We start from the raw sequence: 19,844 nt of genomic DNA on the forward strand, positions 1-19,844 counted from the left end.
TATAAAAAGCAGACATTCACACACAAGGACACATGCACACAGGGAATATGATACCTGAGATTAGGGTGATGCGTCTGCAGGCCAAAGAATGCCAAAGACTGCCAGCACACCACCAGAAACTGGGGGAGAGGCATGGAACGGATTCTTCTTCACAGCTCTCAGAAAGAACCATGCTGCTGACACCTTGATCTTGGAATTCTAGCCACTGGAACTGTAAAACAATAAATTTCTATTGTTTAAGTCATCTAGTTTGTGAGACTTTATTACCATTGCCATAGCAAACTACTACAGGAATTCACCTCAATTCTCATAGCGAATGAGAAGCAGAACCAGATTTGAACACAGGTCTGGCCAATTCTAACACACCAGCCTCTTCACTATGACTGTATCATAATTTCCCTCCACCAAAAACTCTGGGGTGGTCTATAGCCTACACTTAATGGTGATCAGATATTTTAAGCTGAAGGACCTAATTTTGGTGGGAAAGATGCCAGTTTGGGTCATGTTGAGTTTAGGTGCCTGATAATACCCTGGCGTTCAATAAACACTTGGATATATGAATCTGAGTTCAGGGAGATATCCAAGCTCAAGAGAGGCAATCAGAAGTCATTAACACACAAGTAAAAATGGAAACCCTGAGTGTGAATCAGATCAACAAGAAAGAGCACACTAAGAACCAGTGGGCCTAGGATGATCCCTGGAGTAGCAATGATTTCTTTTTGCCACCTTATGTCCATTTTTTTCCTTCTCCCATAGTAATAGAATTTTTAACTGAGCACATGGGCTTCAGAGTAAAGACTACACTTCCCAGGCTTCCTTGCAGCTAGGTATGACCATGTTCAGGCTAAAGGGATGTTAGTGTCACCTTCCTGAAAATTCCCTTATGAGGTAGTTTATGCCCTTTATTTACTCTTTTTCTCTGTCTTTCTTCCATCTTGCTCCCTGGAACTTGGATGTTGCCTTGATTCACAAGGATGAGGATCATTCCCAAGGAATTGTAGGGCAGTTAATTGGAAGAGGACTGTCTTAGTCCATTTGTGTTGCTATAAATGTATAGCTGATACTGGGAATTTATAAAGAAAAAATCATTTGGCTTATAATTCTGCTCTCTGGGAGACTGGGCATCTGGTGAAAGCCTCAGGCTGCTTCCACTCATGTCAGAAGGTGTAGGAGAGACAGCACGTGCAGAGACCACATGGGAAGAGAGGAAGCTAGAGGGGGAGGTAGGGGAGGAGCCAGGCTTTCTATCAACCAGCTCTCATGGAAGCTAATAGAGTGAGAACTCATTCAGTCTCCCTACCCTCCAGGGAAGGCATTAATCTATTCATAAGTGATCCACCCCCCTGACCCAAACACCTCCAATTAGGTCCTATCTCCACCACTTGGGATCAAATTTCAATATGAGATTTGGAGGGTACAACATCCAAACTAGAGAAAGACCTGTGATCCTGAGGACTTCCTGAAGTGGAGATGCCATACCAGCTCTGGACTGCAAATATCTGGACATTTGTATGACAGCTAAACAATTATCTTGTTCAAGTCAATGTTGCTTTTTTTTTTTTTTTTTTTTTTTTTTGGTTATTCTTTGCTATACCCAATCCCAACTAATATACACGGTGAACACCAGGATATAGGAGGTAGACATAGGAAAGAGATCAAAAAGGAATGGCCAAGATAATGGACATCTATTGTTATACATACTCATAAGAGCATCACTCTTCTGGAAATAATTCTTCTAACCAGTTGTTCAGTTGAGAATTGCCACCTTCTTATAGGCCCTGCCTTCCAGACTACAATTAAATGTGACTAGCCAGTTATAGTAATTGGTCCAGGTATGGGCACTTGACCCCCAATAAACCAATCAATGCCCTTCTTTGAGCTTTCTTTTACCTTGGGTTCAAGGAAAGCAGTTCTCAGACCTTCTATGATGTTCAAGGCCAGGAGCCATTGATGGCAATATCTCTTACACATGGAGAGACCTGTCGTCTTAGTCTCTTTGTGCTGCTATAACAAAATGCCTGAGACTCGGTGATTTATTAAGCCCAGAAACATTTTCTCACAGTTCTGAAGGCTGGGAAGTCCAAGATCAAAGTACCTGCCAGTTTGGTTGCCTGGTGAGGGCCGCTCCGTAATTCCAAAATGATGCCTTGTTGCTGCATCCTCCAGAGAAGAGGAATCGTGTGTCCTCACATGGCAGAAGACAGAAGGGCAAGGGAGCCACATGAAGCCTCTTTTATAAGAGCCTTCATTTATAAGAAAGAAGCTTCATGGCCTATTCACCTCTTAAAGGCCCTATCTCTAATACTATCACATTAGCCATTAAGTTTCAACACCTGAATTCTGGAGTGGACTCATTCAAACCATAGTCATCTGAGAGAATGAAGTCATCATGGAAAAAGGAGAAGCGACAAAAGGCCTGGAGAATTCTGCCACCATCATCTCTAGTACAGTTGCAACTGCCCAAGAGGTTTGCCTTGCCCACTGCCTAGACAGAGCCAATTCATCAAGACAGGGGAATTGCAATAGAGAAAGAGTAATTCACTCAGAGCCAGCTGTGCCAGAGACCGGAGTTTTATTATTACTCAAATCAGTCTCCCTGAGCATTCTGGAGCAGGGTTTTTAAGGATAACTTGATGGGTGGGGGGAAGCCAGTGAACCAGGAGTGCTGATAGGTCAGAGATGAAATCATAGGGAGTCGAAGGTGTCTTCTTGCACTGAGTCAGCTCCTGGGTGGGGACCACAAGATCAGATGACCCAGTTTATTGATCCGGGTGGTGCCAGCTGATCTATCAACTGCAAGGTCTGCAAAATATCTCAAGCACTGATCTTAGGAGCAGTTTAGGATGGGTCAGAATCTTGTAGCCTCCAGCTGCATGACTCCTAAACCATAATTTCTAATCTTGTGGCTAATGTTAGTCCTACAAAGGCAATCCGGTCCCCGGGCAAGAAGGAGGTCTGCTTTGGGAAAGGGCTGTTGCTGTCTTTGTTTAAACTATAAACTAAGTTTCTCCCAAAGTTAGTTCAGCCTACGCCCAAGAATGAACAAGGACAGCTTGAAGGTTAGAAGCAAGATGGAGTTGGTTAAGTTAGATCTCTTTCACTGTCTCAGTCATAATTTTGCAAAGGTGGTTTCACAGTCTTTCCTAAGTTACGTCCATATTGCTTTTTTTATCAGAGCTTCCCACATGAGCTAATTCATTCCAACTCTTATTAGAAATCTAGTTGAAGTTGGGTTTCTGCCATTTATGACCAAAAGTCCTGAGTGATATAATCAGAGAGCTACAAGGAAAATCAAGAAAGTGTGCTGTCATGGAAGAGGATGTTAAGGAGGAATTGATAGTGTCAGGGGCAGTAGAAGGGTCTGGTCAATTAAAGACCAAAAAGTGCCTGATGGATTTGGCAATTAAGGTGGTCACCATTATGACAGCGATTCCTTGAAGTTAAGGTTAGAATCAGATTTCAATGAGTTCAAGAGTGAACAGGAAGTTAAGAAGAGGAGACAGTGAATTACAAAGACCTCTGCTGAGGAATTGGAAAGGAAAGGAAAGAAAAGGAGGAAGTTTAAAGGGTAGCTACAGGGGGCCTTGTGTTAATAAGGGTTTTGTTAAAAAGCAAAATTGTTCTGCGTATTTATAGGCTGAGCAGTAGCAGTTAGAGATTTGGTAAAGGATTTGGGGGGGTGCAAAAATTGATGAGGCAAGGCCCAAATTAGAATAGGAGGGAAAGGAATTAAAGTCAAAGGATAAGTGTTGAACGGGAGGAAAGATACTTGTTCTTTCTTAAGGAAAGATGGTAAAGAACAGGTGCAAGTGGAGTGAGCAAACTGAGTCTCTCACCTTTGATGGCCTCAGTTTTCTCATGCAGAAAGGGCAGACTCTCCTAGTGAAATGGAAGAGAGCAAGAGTAAAGAGGGAAGTTGAGGCAAGCAGTGACACTTTCTTCTTTGATTAATGAGGGGATTAGGAAAGGAGGCTGCTCTAGGACGGCTCTGAGGGCTGGGACTGGGGACCATGGAGGGGCTGTTCTGGGTCTTTCTGTGGTTTTCTCCAGCAGTGGTCTTCCGTCCTGGTTAGTGGAGGAGAGAAGCAGCAGCAGCATTACTCTAGGACGGAGATTTCAAGGGGGGGCAAAGACCAAGGATTGAGGAATAGAGGTGCAGGGGAGAGGGTGTTCTGATGCTATGACACAGGACCCATGCTGGGTAAAGGGGAGGAGGAGAGGCTGGACACCTGAGCCCTAGAGAAGGGAACAGATGCAGGGGAGAGGGAGGACATGGAGACTTACTGGCGCACAACCCAGAGAACATTCTGGCATCAACTGGGCAAGGAAGAAAATTCCACAGACTCTAAATTTTAAAATAGAGCTTTGCTGTTTTTAAGACCTGTATTACAGGGAGGAAGGAAGAGAGTGCTTGCCAGCCGGGGTCGGGGACCATCATCCCAGCTCCTTCATACACTTACCTACATTTAGGCTTTCTCATGTATCTTAAGCAACTGTGAATACCCGAGACCCGCTATTCCACACACAGCCTTCCAAGAATTGCTTTGTGATACACAGGTATCACAGAGAGGTCCTGTGCTGGCACCAAAAATTAAAAAGAAAAATCCAGGAGAGGAAACTGATAACTTGCATTTGCAAACATACATTTGAAAACAAGGTTAAATACACATTTGAAAACAAGAAGAATGGCCGGGCGCGGTGACTCACGCCTGTAATCCCAGCACTTCGGGAGGCCGAGGCGGGCGGATCACGAGGTCAGGAGATCGAGACCGACCATCCCGGCTAACACGATGAAACCCCGTCTCTACTAAAAATACAAAAAAATTAGCCGGGCATGGTGGCGGGAGCCTGTAGTCCAGCTACTCAGGAAGCTGAGGCAGGAGAATGGCGTGAACCAGGGAGGCGGAGCTTGCAGTGAGCCGAGATCATGCGCACTCCAGCCTGGGCGACAGAGAGAGACTCCGTCTCAAAAAACAAACAAAAACAAACAAACAAACAAAAAAGAAGCGTCGGAGTATTCAGAAGAAGCAAGGGGAGTGTGACATTGCCCGTCTGTAAAGGTGCTCATGACAGGGGGTCAGAGGAATCAAACATTAAGGATCATTTCCACTGGTTTAGTTTTTGGCTGAATGTGTGACGTGAACTTCTGATTTTGGGGGGCTGGTTTCCTAGTCATCTTCCTTGATTCTGCATAACCGAGGGTCCCTCTTCAGACTGGACCCTAGCAGGAAGTGACTCCCCATGGTTACAATGCAGATGAAAGCAAACATAGAACCCTTAGGTTAGAAGGTTAGAGGCAGCAGCCAGGGATAACACAACGAGGGAAACAGCCCTCCACACACAGAGACTGGTAGCAACCCAGTTATCTGTCTCTCTCTCTCTCAGCTCTCTCTCGGTCTCTCCCCCAGGCTGGAGTACAGTGGCGCAATCATGGCTCACTGCAGCCTCGAACTCCTAGGCTCAGGCAGTCTTCCCACCTCAGCCTCCCGAGTAGCTGGGACCACAGGCGCGCGCCACCATACCCAGCTTCAACCTGTTGTAGTAGTTATTAAGGAATTATTTTAGGCAGATAGAGAGAAAAAGGGGTCCTTGGGAAGTTTTCTTTTTTTAAGACATCTCTGGAAAATGTTCTTGTAAAGCCAGACCGGCAAACTTTGATAACCTTTGATATGCAAATCCAGGCCATTAGAAGCTGGGTCCACCCAAACATGGCCATTCCCTCCTTTTTCTTCTTGCCCTTGCCCCACATGTGCCTGGTGACATGGCCACCCCCACAAATCCCCATGTGTGTAGAACATCATGGTGCCCTGTATTTGCATATTAAAAGGCTAGGGTGGGAGGGCCAGCTTTTTCTCCGGCTACATGAATCACATGCCTGGTCAAACCAATCCCCTAAGCCCTATGCAAATCAGACATCGCCTCCTCCAGCCTCTGCATATACACCTGGCTGGTATCCGTGGCAGGCGGGCACCTCCTCTTTCGGCTTTGCAGCCCCCCTCCCTCTGTCTCTGTACGGGGGAGCTTCTTATGTCTTCTCTCCTCCTTCTTGCCTATTAAACGATCCACTCCATAAAACCACTCTACTTGTGTCTGTGTCGTTTTATCTAAACCGGCATGAGGACCAAGAACCCTGGTGTTCCTCCACTCATCGGAGCTGTATCAAACCCAGTTCTTAAGGTCTGAGAATTAAGCAAGAAAAGAACCAAATGCTTGGCTTCAGTGTTAAATGTCCCAGAAGGGGAGGTAGGCTGGGCTCTAGTTCTGGGAGCTCAGAGCAAACCAGCAGGAACCCAGGCCATCCCAGGCCCCCAGCACTGCCATTCCTTAGGAAGGGAGGATCTGCTACAGAACACTTTTGAGACTTGATCATTTATAATCTATAAATATGTATCACACTCTACGTCTAGGTCTCCTTTTAGAGTGTGGGTTCACTTACCCTTAACAAATCTTTTTGTCACTTTCACAAAGTCCCCAGATTAAAGAAACATTCTTCTACTATAAATAGACACCCAGACCCAGGAACCATGCCTGGTGCGATCTCAGCTCACTGCAACCTCCGCCTCCCAGGTTCAAGTGATTCTCCTGCCTCAGCCTCCCGAGTTGCTGGGATTACAGGCATGCACCACCACGCCCGGCTAATTTTGTATTTTTTAGTAGAGACGGGGTTTCTCCATGTTGGTCAGGCTGGTCTTGAACTCCTGACCTCAGGTGATCTGCCTGCCTCGGCCTCCCAAAGTGCTGGGATTACAGGCGTGATTCACCTCACCCAGCCCAAAATATTATTTTAACAAAACTAATCTCCTGGTGTGTGCTGTGTACAGATATACCACATTTTTCTTATGTTTATTTCATCACAAGTATGTGTGTATATCAGATAGGAATCTTTCAGTTGCCAATTACAGAAAACTCAACTTAAACTGGTTTACCCAATAAAGGGGTTTTATTAGCTCATGTTTTCAGCAAATATCTATCAAGAGCCTACTATGTGTTGTGCAATTGAAAAGTTTGAAGATGGTACTAGATTTAGGCAAAGCCTGATCCAGTAGCCTAAACAGTTTTAGCAAAGACTTGAGTGGTGTCTTTGCCTCTGCTCTGGCTTCCATGTATCCATCCTTAAGCTCCACATGCTAGTCCTTCAGCTCTCACTTACCCCACCCAGCACCATCCCCTCCGTACGTTGCTCTGTCATGTGGAAGAGAGAGTCTCTCTCAGAACCCCTGGGATTCACTCTCTGTGGCCATCCATGTGCCTGATCCCAACCAATCAGGGTGGCTGAGAATGGGATTTGGTGAGCTGCCTAGACCAGTGAAACCTACCCCAGGAGGTGGGAATGGAGCCAAATGCACCCCAGCTACTTCCAGGCGAAGTGGATTCCCCAGAAGAGAATAAGAGTGAATGGATGCAGAGAAGCAAGGGACAAATAGTCGTCACCGCATTGTGTCATTGTTCCGGCTACATGGAAAGCTCTCCATAATGATTGAGAGCACAGGCTGATGCCAGGCTGACTGAGTTAGAATCCTGGCTTCACACTTATCAGCTGTGTGACTTTGGGCATGTCACTTAACCTCTCTGTGTCTCAGTTTTCTCATCTGTAAAGTGAGGATAATAGCACCTGCCTCATAGGATTGAGGATTGTGATGAGGATTAAATGAGTTAGTATTTGTAAAGCAATTGGAATAGTGAATGATACGTAGCAAGCACTTAAAAGTGCACTGTGAACACAGTAGGGGGCCCAATAAATGCTTGCAGAGTGGGTGAAGGTACAAAGCTGGGAGCAAGTCCCACTACTGTCCAGACTTTCACCCCCAGCCACTCCATCTCTCAGGGCAGATCCTCCTGCCTTGGGGTCTGCTGTTTTGGAGATATTTTCCCAGAAAGCTGGCAGCTGGGCAGCGATGAGTGCCCCCCACCTATGATTAAGATGGCATAACCCTAGATGGCATCATTAGAGCACCATTTTTCCCTACAAACTGATGAGAAATCCATAGGGGTGAATTCTGGGGGCCCATCAAGGCACTCCTGGAATAAATGATCTACATGTGCCATGATCATCTGTATGACGATTTCAGGCTGTTTTATCCCCAGCCTGTGACTTTTCACGCTTCCTAAACTGTATAAAAATGAACTGCAATCAGGCTGATCTATAGATAGACAGTTCCTGTTTCTGAGCATGCTGAATGAGGGTGGGTGTGTTGATACATTTGCATAAAGCTGATGGATGTAGAAGGCTATGGTTTTTTGGTTTTGTTTTTGTTTTTTTTGAGGGGTTGGGGTGTCCTTTTGGAAGTGGAGCCAGAGAAGAGGTAAAATTAAGGAAAGTAAAAATAGGGCAGACTCATAGCTTTTTCATATGAAAATGAAGGAGGCAGTAGCTACAAGATAGTTTACTGATGCTCTGTCTGCAAGGAAAAAATGGGCTGGTTTGAAAAGCAAAACAAAACTGACCAACAGGTGACTGGGAGGGATGGGGAAAGGGGTGTGATCTGTCTTTCCTGTCTGCCTCCTCTCTGCTTTTTTCATGTATACACGTAAGGGAAAGATGTAATAGTCTCTGTTTTCTATGTACAGGGATATTTAGATATGCAAATGAGCACAGCCTGTTAATGAGCTGAGGGTGATTACACTGCAGGGAGCTGCCAGCCCCTGCTGAACAATAGGTGAAGAGACACCAGGTGTCTGTGAAGGGGGAAGGGGACCTCCCCACCCCTGCCTCTGTGCCTCTGACCTGTCTGCAGAATGAAACTGTTAGGCCAAGTTCTTATGCTCCTTCTAGCTCCCAGATCCTGAATCTAATGAGTTAAGGTGAGCAGCGGGAGACCAGGTAAGCCCTGGGGCTCATCAGGGAACTGATGAGCAGGTAAGCTCCGGAGGCTCCCGAACCTTACCTGGGCCGGGAAGGGTGATGGGCAGCCAGTGAAGCATGAAGCTGCCTCAGATGGGCAGGACCACTTGGCAAGTGCTATGGAATTGGGGTGGGAGAAGCAGGACCCTATGGAGTGAGCAGGTCATGCTGCGTCTCTTTGGGCAGCATTTGGTCACAAGATGGTGACTGGGCACCTGTGTGCTTATCAGAAGTCACGGCAAAGTTTTGCAATGAGAAACAGGAAATGAAGGAGTCCGCTTTTAATTTCTAGGGAGAGATGCTCAGTATTAGTAAAAAGGACGTGGACTTTGGAGTTGTACACATCTGAGTTTGTTGGGCTAGACACATTGGACATGTTATACCCATGAACCCTGGCTGACAAGGTGCCAGCCACACAGCCAATCTCCCCTACTGATAAGATAAAGGACTTGGCCTATCACATATGACTCTCCTGACAACCACTTGATGGTTACCTAGCGAAGGAGGTAATTAACAAAGAATCTTACAAGAAACTCGTGTTGCTCGGGCAAATGCCCGGCCTGGACATCCCAGGTCCAGAGGAGTGGAAAGAACCCAGCCAGTTCCAACGGGATCTGCAACGTACTTTCTGACCTGTTGTTCTGACGGCAACAGAGCAGGACACTGTCATCGCCTGCCAGCCTCCAAGTCTCTGTGACACTGTCTCAAAACAGTCTAAAGCTTTAAGTCCCCTCAAACCTCCCACATCTGCCATGTGGCTGGATCACTCCAAAATCAGGACATGTCCCTAACCTTCTATTAAGGGCATTCGACTTTATACCATGTCACTGAGCATCACTCAATCCTGCCTATAAATATGGATGCTATGCTAACAAGACTTATTGCTGATTTAATGGCAGTGAGTACAGGCTGGTGTGCTGCACACATACACAGAGAATGGTATTGAAAAATGGGAATGATAATTAGAGTTTAATAAATGGTAATTTGCTCCTTGCTGCTGTGTGTGACAGGGGTTGGGGAGGGATGAAATAGAGGGGCCCTTCCAGAAAGTGAAATGTGGATAGAACGTATGCCATGACAGCTTTATTTTAATTTTCACATTGCCCAGGATTGAAGTTAATGCTCATTTACCTACAGATCCTTTTCCCTGGAAATCACCTCTTGTGGAACATGAGTGGAGAAGACAATTAGACAAGAAATATTTATCACTGGGACCAAATTTTAACTAGAGTCATAGAATGAAGAGGTCAGGGCTCCAGAGACAAAGTGAAGCAGAGAATTAAAATAATTATCTGGATCATTCAGGGGAAATAAAATCATTGTTTTTGCTTGAGTGAGTGTCTGAATGATCTAAATAATTGTCCCCACCCTTTGTTTTGGTCTGGTAGTGAAGACCTGGCCAATCGATCCAGTAGCAAAGGATGGAAGTTGGAAGTTTGTGGCGAGAAAGGACAGGAAGGCTGAGTAAGCCTGAATCCCCCTGGTCCTGCAGGCCTGAGCATTGGGCAGAGGCTGGCCCAGTCCAGAGCTTGGGCTGGAGAGGGAAGGATGGTATTCCTGGAAGCTAGAGACCAGAAAGTAAGCAACGCTGAAAGTCGCATGGGAAACCAAGGTCGACAAACCCAGAATACAGCCAGAAGGAGCCAGGTTTAGTGAGTGAATCCAGGAAGCTAAAAGATTAAGCAGAACAGAATCATGAGGGGTGTGTGTGTGTGTGTTTGTGTGTGTAGTTAGGAAAGGTTAAACAATTGACTATACCAGAGGTTTGCAGCTTCTTGGACTCCACTGGCCAATCAAGAGAAGTGGAATTTTTCTGGGGCAGTGGCGGTATGCTAGTGTGCAAATGGAAGGTATGGTGTTATTCAGCGGGCCCTGCAAGTCTCCCCTTCCCAGAAACAACTACTTTATTTCTAGATATAGAATAATAATAATAGTAAAAAGACAGCTACTTTATGTAAATGCATGAATGATCCATTGCTTGAGATTTATTCGTGGCCTACTTGTGTGTTCATTTTTCAAACACAAATTTTCCTTGGAGGACAAATCAGTAGTTTCCAAGCTTACTATAGAAATTAACAATAACTAATTGTGGTAGATTTTAAATTCCACAGTTATTCAATATTGTTCCTTTTAAGAGACAGAACTTAATTCCCATCTCCTTGAGCATGGCTTGGACTGGGTGACTCATGACCGATAAAATATAGCAGAAGTTATGGTGTGTGATTTCCAAGTCTGGGTTATAAAGTGTTTTGTAGATTCCTCCTAGTTCCCTCTTTTGGATTGTTTGCTAAGGTAGAAGCCACCTGCCACATCACTAGGACACACAAGCAGCCAATGCAGATGTCCATGGAGTAAGGAACTGAGGCCTCCTGCCAATAGCTGCGTGAGTGTGCCACCTTGGAAGCAGACTGTCCAGCCCCAGTCAAACCTTCAAATGACTGCGGCCCCAGCTGACATTTCACTGCATCTTCGTGAAAGGCCATCAACCAGAACCACCCATCTAAGCCATTCCTAATTTCTAGTCCTCGGAAACTGAGTTATCTAATAAATGTTTGTTATTTTAAGCTGCTAAATTTTGGGATGGTTTGTTACTCATCAATAAATATTACAATAATCATAGCTAAGATTTACTGAACATGTACATGTGGCAGGCTTCACATATATTAACATATTTAAATGGCTTAACAATCATATGAGATAGTTACTATTACCAGCTCCATTTTGTAGTTGAGGAAACTGAAGTATACAAAGTTATACATAGTGAATACTGTTAGTTCCCTTTCCTGGCTGTAAATGTTGGCTGCTAAAGACTCACAGCTTCCCCTCTTTCCAGAGAATTGCCCCTGGCTGGATAGGAGTGGTCTCACCTAGGAAGTTATACACTGCCTTCCCCTCCCACTATGGCAGCCCTCAGCCACTGACTAGTTGATGCAGGGCAGGACCACCACAAAGTGGGACCAACTGTATGGTGCAATTCTCCCTCCAAATTTTTTTGCGGTGGAGTCAAGCAAAAGCTAGACTCTAGCTGGGATTACATTCTTGCTTAGATCCATTTGCTACCTCTATCCTGCTTTCCTTGCCCCTTTTCTCCCAAAAGCACTCCCTCAATAAATCAAGTGCGTTGGAATCTTGTCTCAGGCTCTTTTTAAGGAACTCAACCTAAGTTAGGCATAGTGATTTACCCAAAGTCATTGCTATGGTTTAAATATTTGTCCCCTCCCAAACTCATGTTGCCATTTAATTGCCATTGTGATGGCATTAAGAGGTGAGACCACTAAGAGGTGATTAGGCCATGAGCACTCCGCTCTCAAGAATGGATTAATGCCATTATCAAAGGAGTGGGTTCTTATAAAAGGTCCAGTTTTCCCCTTTTTTCTCTCTCTTATCCTCTTGCCTTCCTCCATGGGATGATACAGCAAGAGGATCCTCACAAGATGCTGGCACCTTGATCTTGGACTTCCCAGCCTCTAGAACTGTGAGAAATAAATTTCCATTCTTTATAAATTAGTCCATCCCAAATATTCTGTTGTAGCACCAAAATGGACTAAGACAGCCAAACAGCCTGGGTTTGCACGCGACAGTCTGACTTCAGAGTTCTTGCCCTTAAAAATATCTCTGGAAGAGTAACAAATACCAGTAGAGAGCAGTAGCACAATCATAGTTCACTGCAACCTTGAACTCCTGGGCTCAAGCCATCCTCCTGCCCCAGCCTCCCAAGTAGCTGGGACTACAGGCATGCATCACCACACCTGGCTAATTTGTAATTTTTTTGTGTGGAGATGGGGTCTTGTTACATTGTCCAGGCTGGTCTCGAACTACTGGGAGTTCCTCAAGGATCCTCCCACCACCTTGGCCTCCCAAAGTGCTGGGATTACAGGCATGAGCCATGGTGCCTGGCCACTACTAAATTTTCAGCTCCTATTTTGGCATGAGACAAGTGGTGGGTGGTTCAGTTCGGCTTTTTGTAACTGCTAGTTCTGTCCCCCACCCCGCCCCGCCAACACACACCATGGATAGTACCACGTGAAAGCCAGTCCTCCTGCCCCTCATATTCATCCCTTACCTCCCACCCTAATTAATCTGGTCCAGATCCTCATTCTTGCCATGAATTTTAGCCTCCTCTCTTAGATAGGATTTACATGTTCTTGCCTATAGTGGGTGAAATTGAGTCCTAACCCCTGGTACCTGTGAATGTGATCTTATCTGGAAGTAGAATCTTTGCAGATGTGATTAAGGTAAGGATCTGAAGATGAGATTATCCGGGATTTAGGGTGCGTCTAAATGCAATGACTAGTGTCCTTATAAAAGAAAGGAGAAATTGGAGACAAAGAGACACAGGGGGAAAACCACATGAAGACAGGGTGTAGAGATCAGAGGGATACATCTGCAAGCCACAGCATGCCAGGATTGGATTGCAGAGCCACAGAAGCGAGGAGATACACAGGGAACAGATTCTCCCTCGGAGCCTCCAGAAAGAACCAGCCCTGCTGACACCTTGATTCCAAACTTCTGGCCTTCAGAGCTATGAGACAACACGTTTCCATTATGTCAAGCCTTCCAGTATGTGGTCATTTGTTATGGCGGCCACAGGAAACAAATACACTTCCCTTCAGAGGCCCCTGTTCATCTCAGCCCTAAACCCAGCAGCAGTCTCTGGAGTGAGGTTGGGGAATTACAAAAGCCGTAACAGGCATGCATCACCACACCTGGCTAATTGTTAATTTTGTGTGTGTGGAGATGGGGTCTTGTTACATTGTTTACAAAGCCACAGCCTTGTGGTTGTTATAGTTCCCATTTTGCTTTGTTTTGTTTTGTTTTGTTTCATTTTGTTTTTTACAATCGAGGAAATGGGCCCAGGAAGTTCAAGTGATTTTTTCCAAAGTCCCTTACACCAGCAGTCCCCAACCTGTTTGACACCAGGGACCAGTTTTGTGGAAGACAATTTTTTCATGGACAAGGGGCAGGGGGGAAATGGTTTTGGGCTGAAACTGTTCCACTTCAGATCATCAGACATTAGTTAGATTCTCATAAGGAGCACGCAAACTAGATCCCTCCCATGTGCAGTTCACAGTAGGGTTTCCGCTCCTACGAGACTCTAATGACGCCGCTGCTCTGACAGGAGGCAGAGCTCAGGTGGTCATGCTCGCCTGCCCTCCACTCAGCTCCTGCTCTGCAGCCTGGTTCCTAACAAGCCATGGACTGGTACTGGTCCCTCAGGGGTTGGGGACCCCTGCCCTATATAGATGGTGTATAAAGCCCAGATTGTGGGTCTCTAGACTCCAAATCCTGAAGTTTTTAGTCCTCAAGAGGAGACTGGCAATGATACAAGGACACTACTAAAGTCTTTCTGTTCACTGTCTATAACTCTTCATTTTAAAATCTAGGTATTTGGGGATATGGAGTGTAGGGGGAACAGGAAGGTGGGACCTAGCTTCTTATCCTTCTGCCTTTGACAGCATATAATGTCTCCCATAAAGTGCAGCAGCAAAGTCTAACTTAAGCATTTAAGTGACCCCTTCAGTTCCTTAATGATGCTATAAATGCAATCCTGGTGTGATTTATAAAGCTATTAAAATAAATGCTTCCACTGAAATAAACATTGCTACCTCTCAGCATATGTTTACTTGCATAACCTAAGCACAAACTTACCCGAATATGCAAAACCTGAACCAAAGATGATAAACGGAGGGCCTGGGTGCCGTACACAAATGAACTGGATGTGTGTGGGTCTTGACAGCATCTTCTAGGGACAGCTGGTCTTTCAGACTTTTTTTTTCTTAGTCATGGTCTTTCAGTCTTGAAGCCTTGCCTTGTTTCTCAGTTTGGAGAAATGCCTCCCTCCATGGTCTGACGCCTAGCTGATGCCTCTCTATCCATGAATTTCGCATTATGCACAGAAAAGCACTTTTTAAAATGCTCTCCTCAACCTTTGTGCATGGTTCAGCTCCCATGGAGAGCCCCACTTGAGTCTTTACCATTTTTCATGTCACAGAAATGTTTGTAGGCCCTGGGCCATGGGAGGTTTTGGAGCAAGAGGGGCATGATGAAATTTGCTAATCACATCTTGGAACCATGAGATTTTAGGTCTATATTCAAAGAGGCATGAACCCAGGGCCTGAATTTAATTCATCTTCAACCTCACAGCTCTTTGGACTGTGCTGCATTGGTCATTATGTAAGAAGGAACATTTGAGAAGAAATCGAGTAGGTTTGAGATGATGCCCAGGAGTCATAGGACACAATGGAAAAGCAACAGGGAACAGTTTACACCAGTCTGTCTGGTTCACTATGATATCCTCAGTGCCTACCATGGGTGCCTGGCACATACAGCTTGCTGTAAATAAGTGTAGAAGGAAGTGAGACAGAGAGGGAGGCCCTAGGGAATTCAGTCCAAGTCCTGGTTCCACTACATACTAGCTGTGTGATGATGGGAAAATTTATTAATTTCTCTGAATCTCCACTTCCTCATTTTGAACTGAGGACAATAATATCTTTCTATTGTAAGTCTTACACAATACAACTCATAAAAATGTCTAGAACGGTGCTGCACAGAATAGGTGCTCTATTCCATAAATGTTCATTGAATGAATGAATGAAAGTCTGGCTGTTTCCCTGCGGATGAATGGCCCTTGAGCTTGGAGACATTGAGTATGGTGCACAGGGACAAGCTGATCACTTCCCAAGGCATGTCAGTGGAGCGCTGCCTGTCTCCTTATTTATGTGCCAGGTTTTCATCATTTGCCATCCACACTTAGGGGATTAATTCCCTGGCAAGTGCAGCCAGTAATACACAGCCAGCCATACGACACAGATAACAGCAGCTACGGTTGTAATTCCCATCCCATTGACAGCCCTTCAACCAACAGAGGAAGGATGGAGCAGCTGAAAGCTTCCATTCAAAGTCAGTAACAATAAGTTACAAGTGACTACGTATGTGGAGGGCAAGTGAGAGGGGGCAGGAGGAGGGTGAGCAGCCAGCCCCTTCTCTTTGTGCTAGTGTAGCAAGCAGGATCCAGCCAGGAAGTGTGCCCAAGTGCCTGCTTAGATGTTAGGGAAATGATTAAAGTTTTCCAATTTTGGAAACAGAAGTTTAATAGTTTATTTTTTTCCTCTTTTTACCCAACACCTTTGGAACCTTTAAGATTGTATTAATTGGAATATAAAATGTTTCAGGTGCAGTGGAAAACAGCATGGTGATTCCTCAGAAATTAAACATAGAATTACTATATGATCCAGCAATTACACTGCTAGGTATACACTCAAAAGAACTGAAAACTAATACCCAACCCAGTACCTCTCCAGGAATGTTTATTACAGCAGCATCCACAATAGCCAAAAGGTGGAAACAGTCCAAATGTCCATCAACAGACGAGTGGCTTAACAAATTGTGGCATATATAGCAGAATATTATTCAGCCATAAAAAGGAATGAAGTACTGATACATGCTAGATCGTGGATAAACCTCAAAAACTTTATGCTAAGTGAAAGCAGCCAGACACAAAAGATTATGTACTATATGATTTCATTTATATGAAATATCCAGAATAGACAAATTCACAGAAATAGAATGGAGATTGGTTGTTTGCTGGAGCTGGGGAGAGAGAGTAATGGGGAGAAACTGCTTGATAAGGGGTTTGCATTGGAATCATGGAAATGCTTTAGAATTGGATAGAGGTTGCACGATACTGTGAAGGTACTAAATGTCATTAAATTAATTAAATTGTTCACTTTAAAATGGTTAATTTTATGTTATGTGAATTCCACCTTAATTTTAAAAATTGTATGAATGTAATTATGTGAATAAACACACATAATAAAGAAAATTACAACCCCACATATGAGTATAAATGAAAACTAGAGGCTGGGCGCGGTGGGCTTGTAATCCCAGTACTTTGGGATGCCGAGGCGGGTGGATCACAAGGTCAGGAGATCGAGACCATCCTAACACGGTGAAACCCCGTCTCTACTAAAAATACAAAAAATTAGCCGGGAGTCGTGGCGGGCGCCTGTAGTCCCAGCTACTCAGGAGGCTGAGGCAGGAGAATGGGAGAATGGCGTGAACCCGGGAGGCGGAGCTTGCAGTGAGCTGAGATCGCGCCACTGCACTCCAGCCTGGGCAACAGAGTGAGACTCCGTCTCAAAAAAAAAAAAAAAGAAAACTAGGTTTCCTTTCCTACCTGACCCTCCATTCTCCTCATAGACAATTACTAGAGTTTTTTGTGTACCCTTTTAGAGGTATTTTTAAGTCTATATATATACATACATATATAGAGATATGTAAAATCATGGCATGCTGTACACACTATTCTGCTGTGGAGAATGCTTTGCTTTTGTTTTTGAGACAGGGTCTTGCTCTGTCACCCAGGCTGGAGTGCAGTGGGGTGATCATTGGCTCACTACAGCCTTGACCTCCTGAGCTCAAGCAGTCCTTCCACTTTGGCCTCCTAAAGTGCTGGGATTACAGGCATGAGACACCACACCCAGCTAATAATGTTTTTGTTTTTGTTTTTTGAGATAGAGTCTCACTCGTCTCCCAGGCTGGAGTGCAGTGGTGCAATCTAGGCCCACTGCAACCTCCACCTCCTGGGTTCAACCGATTCTCCTGCCTCAGTCTCCCATGTAGCTGAGATTACAGGTGTACACCACCACGCTCAGCTAATTTTTGTATTTTTAGTAGAGATGAGGTTTCACCATGTTGGCCAGACTGGTCTCGAATTCCTGACCTCAAGTGATCCACCCACCTTGGCCTCCCAAAGTGCTGGAATTACAGGCGTGAGCCACCATGCCCGGACAAGAATGTTTTAAAAATACCATTTAATGGGTCTCAACTCAGATCTACTCAATCCGAATTTTCAAGGTTGGGCCCAGGGATCTGTTTTTACAAAGCAGGTGGTTGGTGGGGAGGGAGCTAGTCTAGTCCAGCCTGTGGCTTTCCTGCCGTTCCTGAGTACCAGGCATCCTGCCTTCAGCTTGGTTGGCTTCCTGGGGTCTTCTCAGAACTGGGGACTCATAGGCTGTCTGGCCCTCAGTTACCCTTCTCCAATACTCTTCTGCCTTCACCACCCACCTCAGACCACCTCCTCCCCCTCCAGATAACCATGCCAGCCCCAGGGACCCTCACCACCACGACCTGCCAGGCCTGCACTTCTGCAAAGCCAAGGCTAGCCCCACCTGCTGGCTTCTCTGAGGGCACTCCCAAGGGTCAGCATCTTGAGCCTAGCTCTCTGGAGCCTGATGAAATTCTCATCTTCTCTCCGTTGCTACTCAATAGCTGAGAGACCAACTCAGAAAAGAATGATTGCCAGATTAGAATGTCAATGCGTTTTAAAATATCTAACCAGTTGTTGAGCCCCTACTGTATACCAGGTACTGGAATAGGCCTTTCTTTTGGGGGTTGTTTTGGTTTTTTTGTTTTTTTTTTTTTTTTTGAGACATAGTCTCGCTCTGTCACGAGGCTGGAGTGCAGTGGCACAATCTCGGCTCACTGCAACCTCCGCCTCCCAGGTTCAACTGATTCTCCTGTCTCAGCCTCCCAAGTAGCTGGGACTACAGGCACCTGCCACCACTTGCATTAGCTCCCTCAGGTCAGTCTTTTTAAACCCCATCTTACCAGTGAGGAAGGAAATGGAAGCTTAGAGAGGTTGAGGAACTTGCGGGCTAATGCATGGAAAAGCCAATCTGACTCTAAAATCCAACTCTTTCCTCTACCCCACATTGTCACACAGTCCAAGCCTCATCACTCGTGAAGGGAAGTAAGTGTTATCAGTGAGAGGAACCTGTGCATCTGTAGGTGGGACACCTCTTTCTGCTAGCAAGATCCCCGGGAACTAAATTATCATCTGAAGGTGAGTGCAGAATAAGAGCCTAGGGAGGCCAGGCATGGCAGTTCACGCCTGTAATCTCAACATTTTGGGAGGCCAGGGTGGGAGGATCGCTTGAGCCCAGGAGTTCCAGACCAGCCTGGGCAACATGGCAAAACCCCACCTCTACAAAAAATACAAACATTAGCCAGGCATGGTGTTGTGCGCCTACAGTCCCACCTACTTGGGATGCTGAGGTGGGAGGATCGCTTGAGCCTGGGAGGCAAAGGTTGCAGTGAGCTGTGATTGCGCCACTGTACTCCTGTCTAGCCTGGGCGAGAGAGTGAGACCATGTCTCAGAAAAAAAAGATAATCTAGTAACCTAGGGAACAGAGCATCTCAAGGCATCCTCCACAAAGCTGTGGCCACATTAGCCTTGGCCCACAACATATTGTGCCATTGCATTCCAGCCTGTGCGACAAAAGCGAGACTCAGTCTCAAAACAACAACAACAACAACAACAACAAAACAGAATTCTATTCTCTAATGGCCTGAATATGGGCATCTACCCTCCCCTCCCCCTTACATAAGGCTGGGTAAACCCTGGCAGGTTTTCTGTTTTGCCTCCTTCCATTAGGGTACCAACCAGCATCATCAGTGGGGAAATAGTCTTTGGAATCCATGAACCTAGGTTCAAATCCCAGCTCTTCCCTTCATTAGCTGTGTGACTTCGGACTCCAGACTTCAGACTTCAGACATAGCTCCCCAGATGTATATGAAACTCACTGCCCAGAGTTCAGTCACTGCTGGTTCCTCTCTTCCTCCTGGCAACGCAGCGTTTTCCCAGGCACGAAACCCACTTTTCTTTTGCCACATTCCAGTCCTGAGGGTTATCTCTGGTCATGTTTATGGGACTTGGGTAATCTTAATCCTCTCCCTCCTAGCCCTCTCTCCCCTTTGCCCTCAATCCAAATAGACATATGATCAGGTCCTGGCCCCAGGCATAGGATAGATATAAAAGGGACCTTGTATCTGAGACTGGGAGCCCGGAGCTCCTTGGGGAGGATTTCTACTTCCCACGGCTCACTAATCGGGCTCTGGGAGTCACATGAGGACTCGTGACCCCTGGGCCCAGATGGTCTTTCATCTCACTGCAGACGGGACAAGCTCCTTGGGACAAAGCAGCTTCACACTGCCTGACTC

General features: G+C 45.6%; 1 long non-coding RNA gene across 1 annotated transcript in view, besides 2 other annotated features; it reads right to left on the bottom strand.

Moving 5' to 3' along the window:
• LINC01992 (long intergenic non-protein coding RNA 1992) overlaps positions 1-19,844 on the bottom strand; it is a 62,784-nt gene that overhangs the window by 2,559 nt on the left and 40,381 nt on the right. Inside the window, exon 3 of the long non-coding RNA NR_146896.1 lies at positions 55-211. This is a non-coding gene — a long non-coding RNA (long intergenic non-protein coding RNA 1992). The remainder of the gene's footprint in view (positions 1-54; positions 212-19,844) is intronic.
• Positions 13,735-13,794: an enhancer, noted in NCBI's record as "active region_11914". NCBI's record gives its function as "activates an Ori minimal core promoter by ATAC-STARR-seq in GM12878 lymphoblastoid cells {active_cell/tissue: GM12878}" and the evidence as "EXISTENCE:reporter gene assay evidence [ECO:0000049][PMID:35858748]".
• Positions 13,845-13,904: an enhancer, noted in NCBI's record as "active region_11915". NCBI's record gives its function as "activates an Ori minimal core promoter by ATAC-STARR-seq in GM12878 lymphoblastoid cells {active_cell/tissue: GM12878}" and the evidence as "EXISTENCE:reporter gene assay evidence [ECO:0000049][PMID:35858748]".

This window comes from Homo sapiens, chromosome 17, assembly GCF_000001405.40.
Source record: "Homo sapiens chromosome 17, GRCh38.p14 Primary Assembly".
Taxonomy (NCBI): Eukaryota; Metazoa; Chordata; class Mammalia; order Primates; family Hominidae; genus Homo; species Homo sapiens.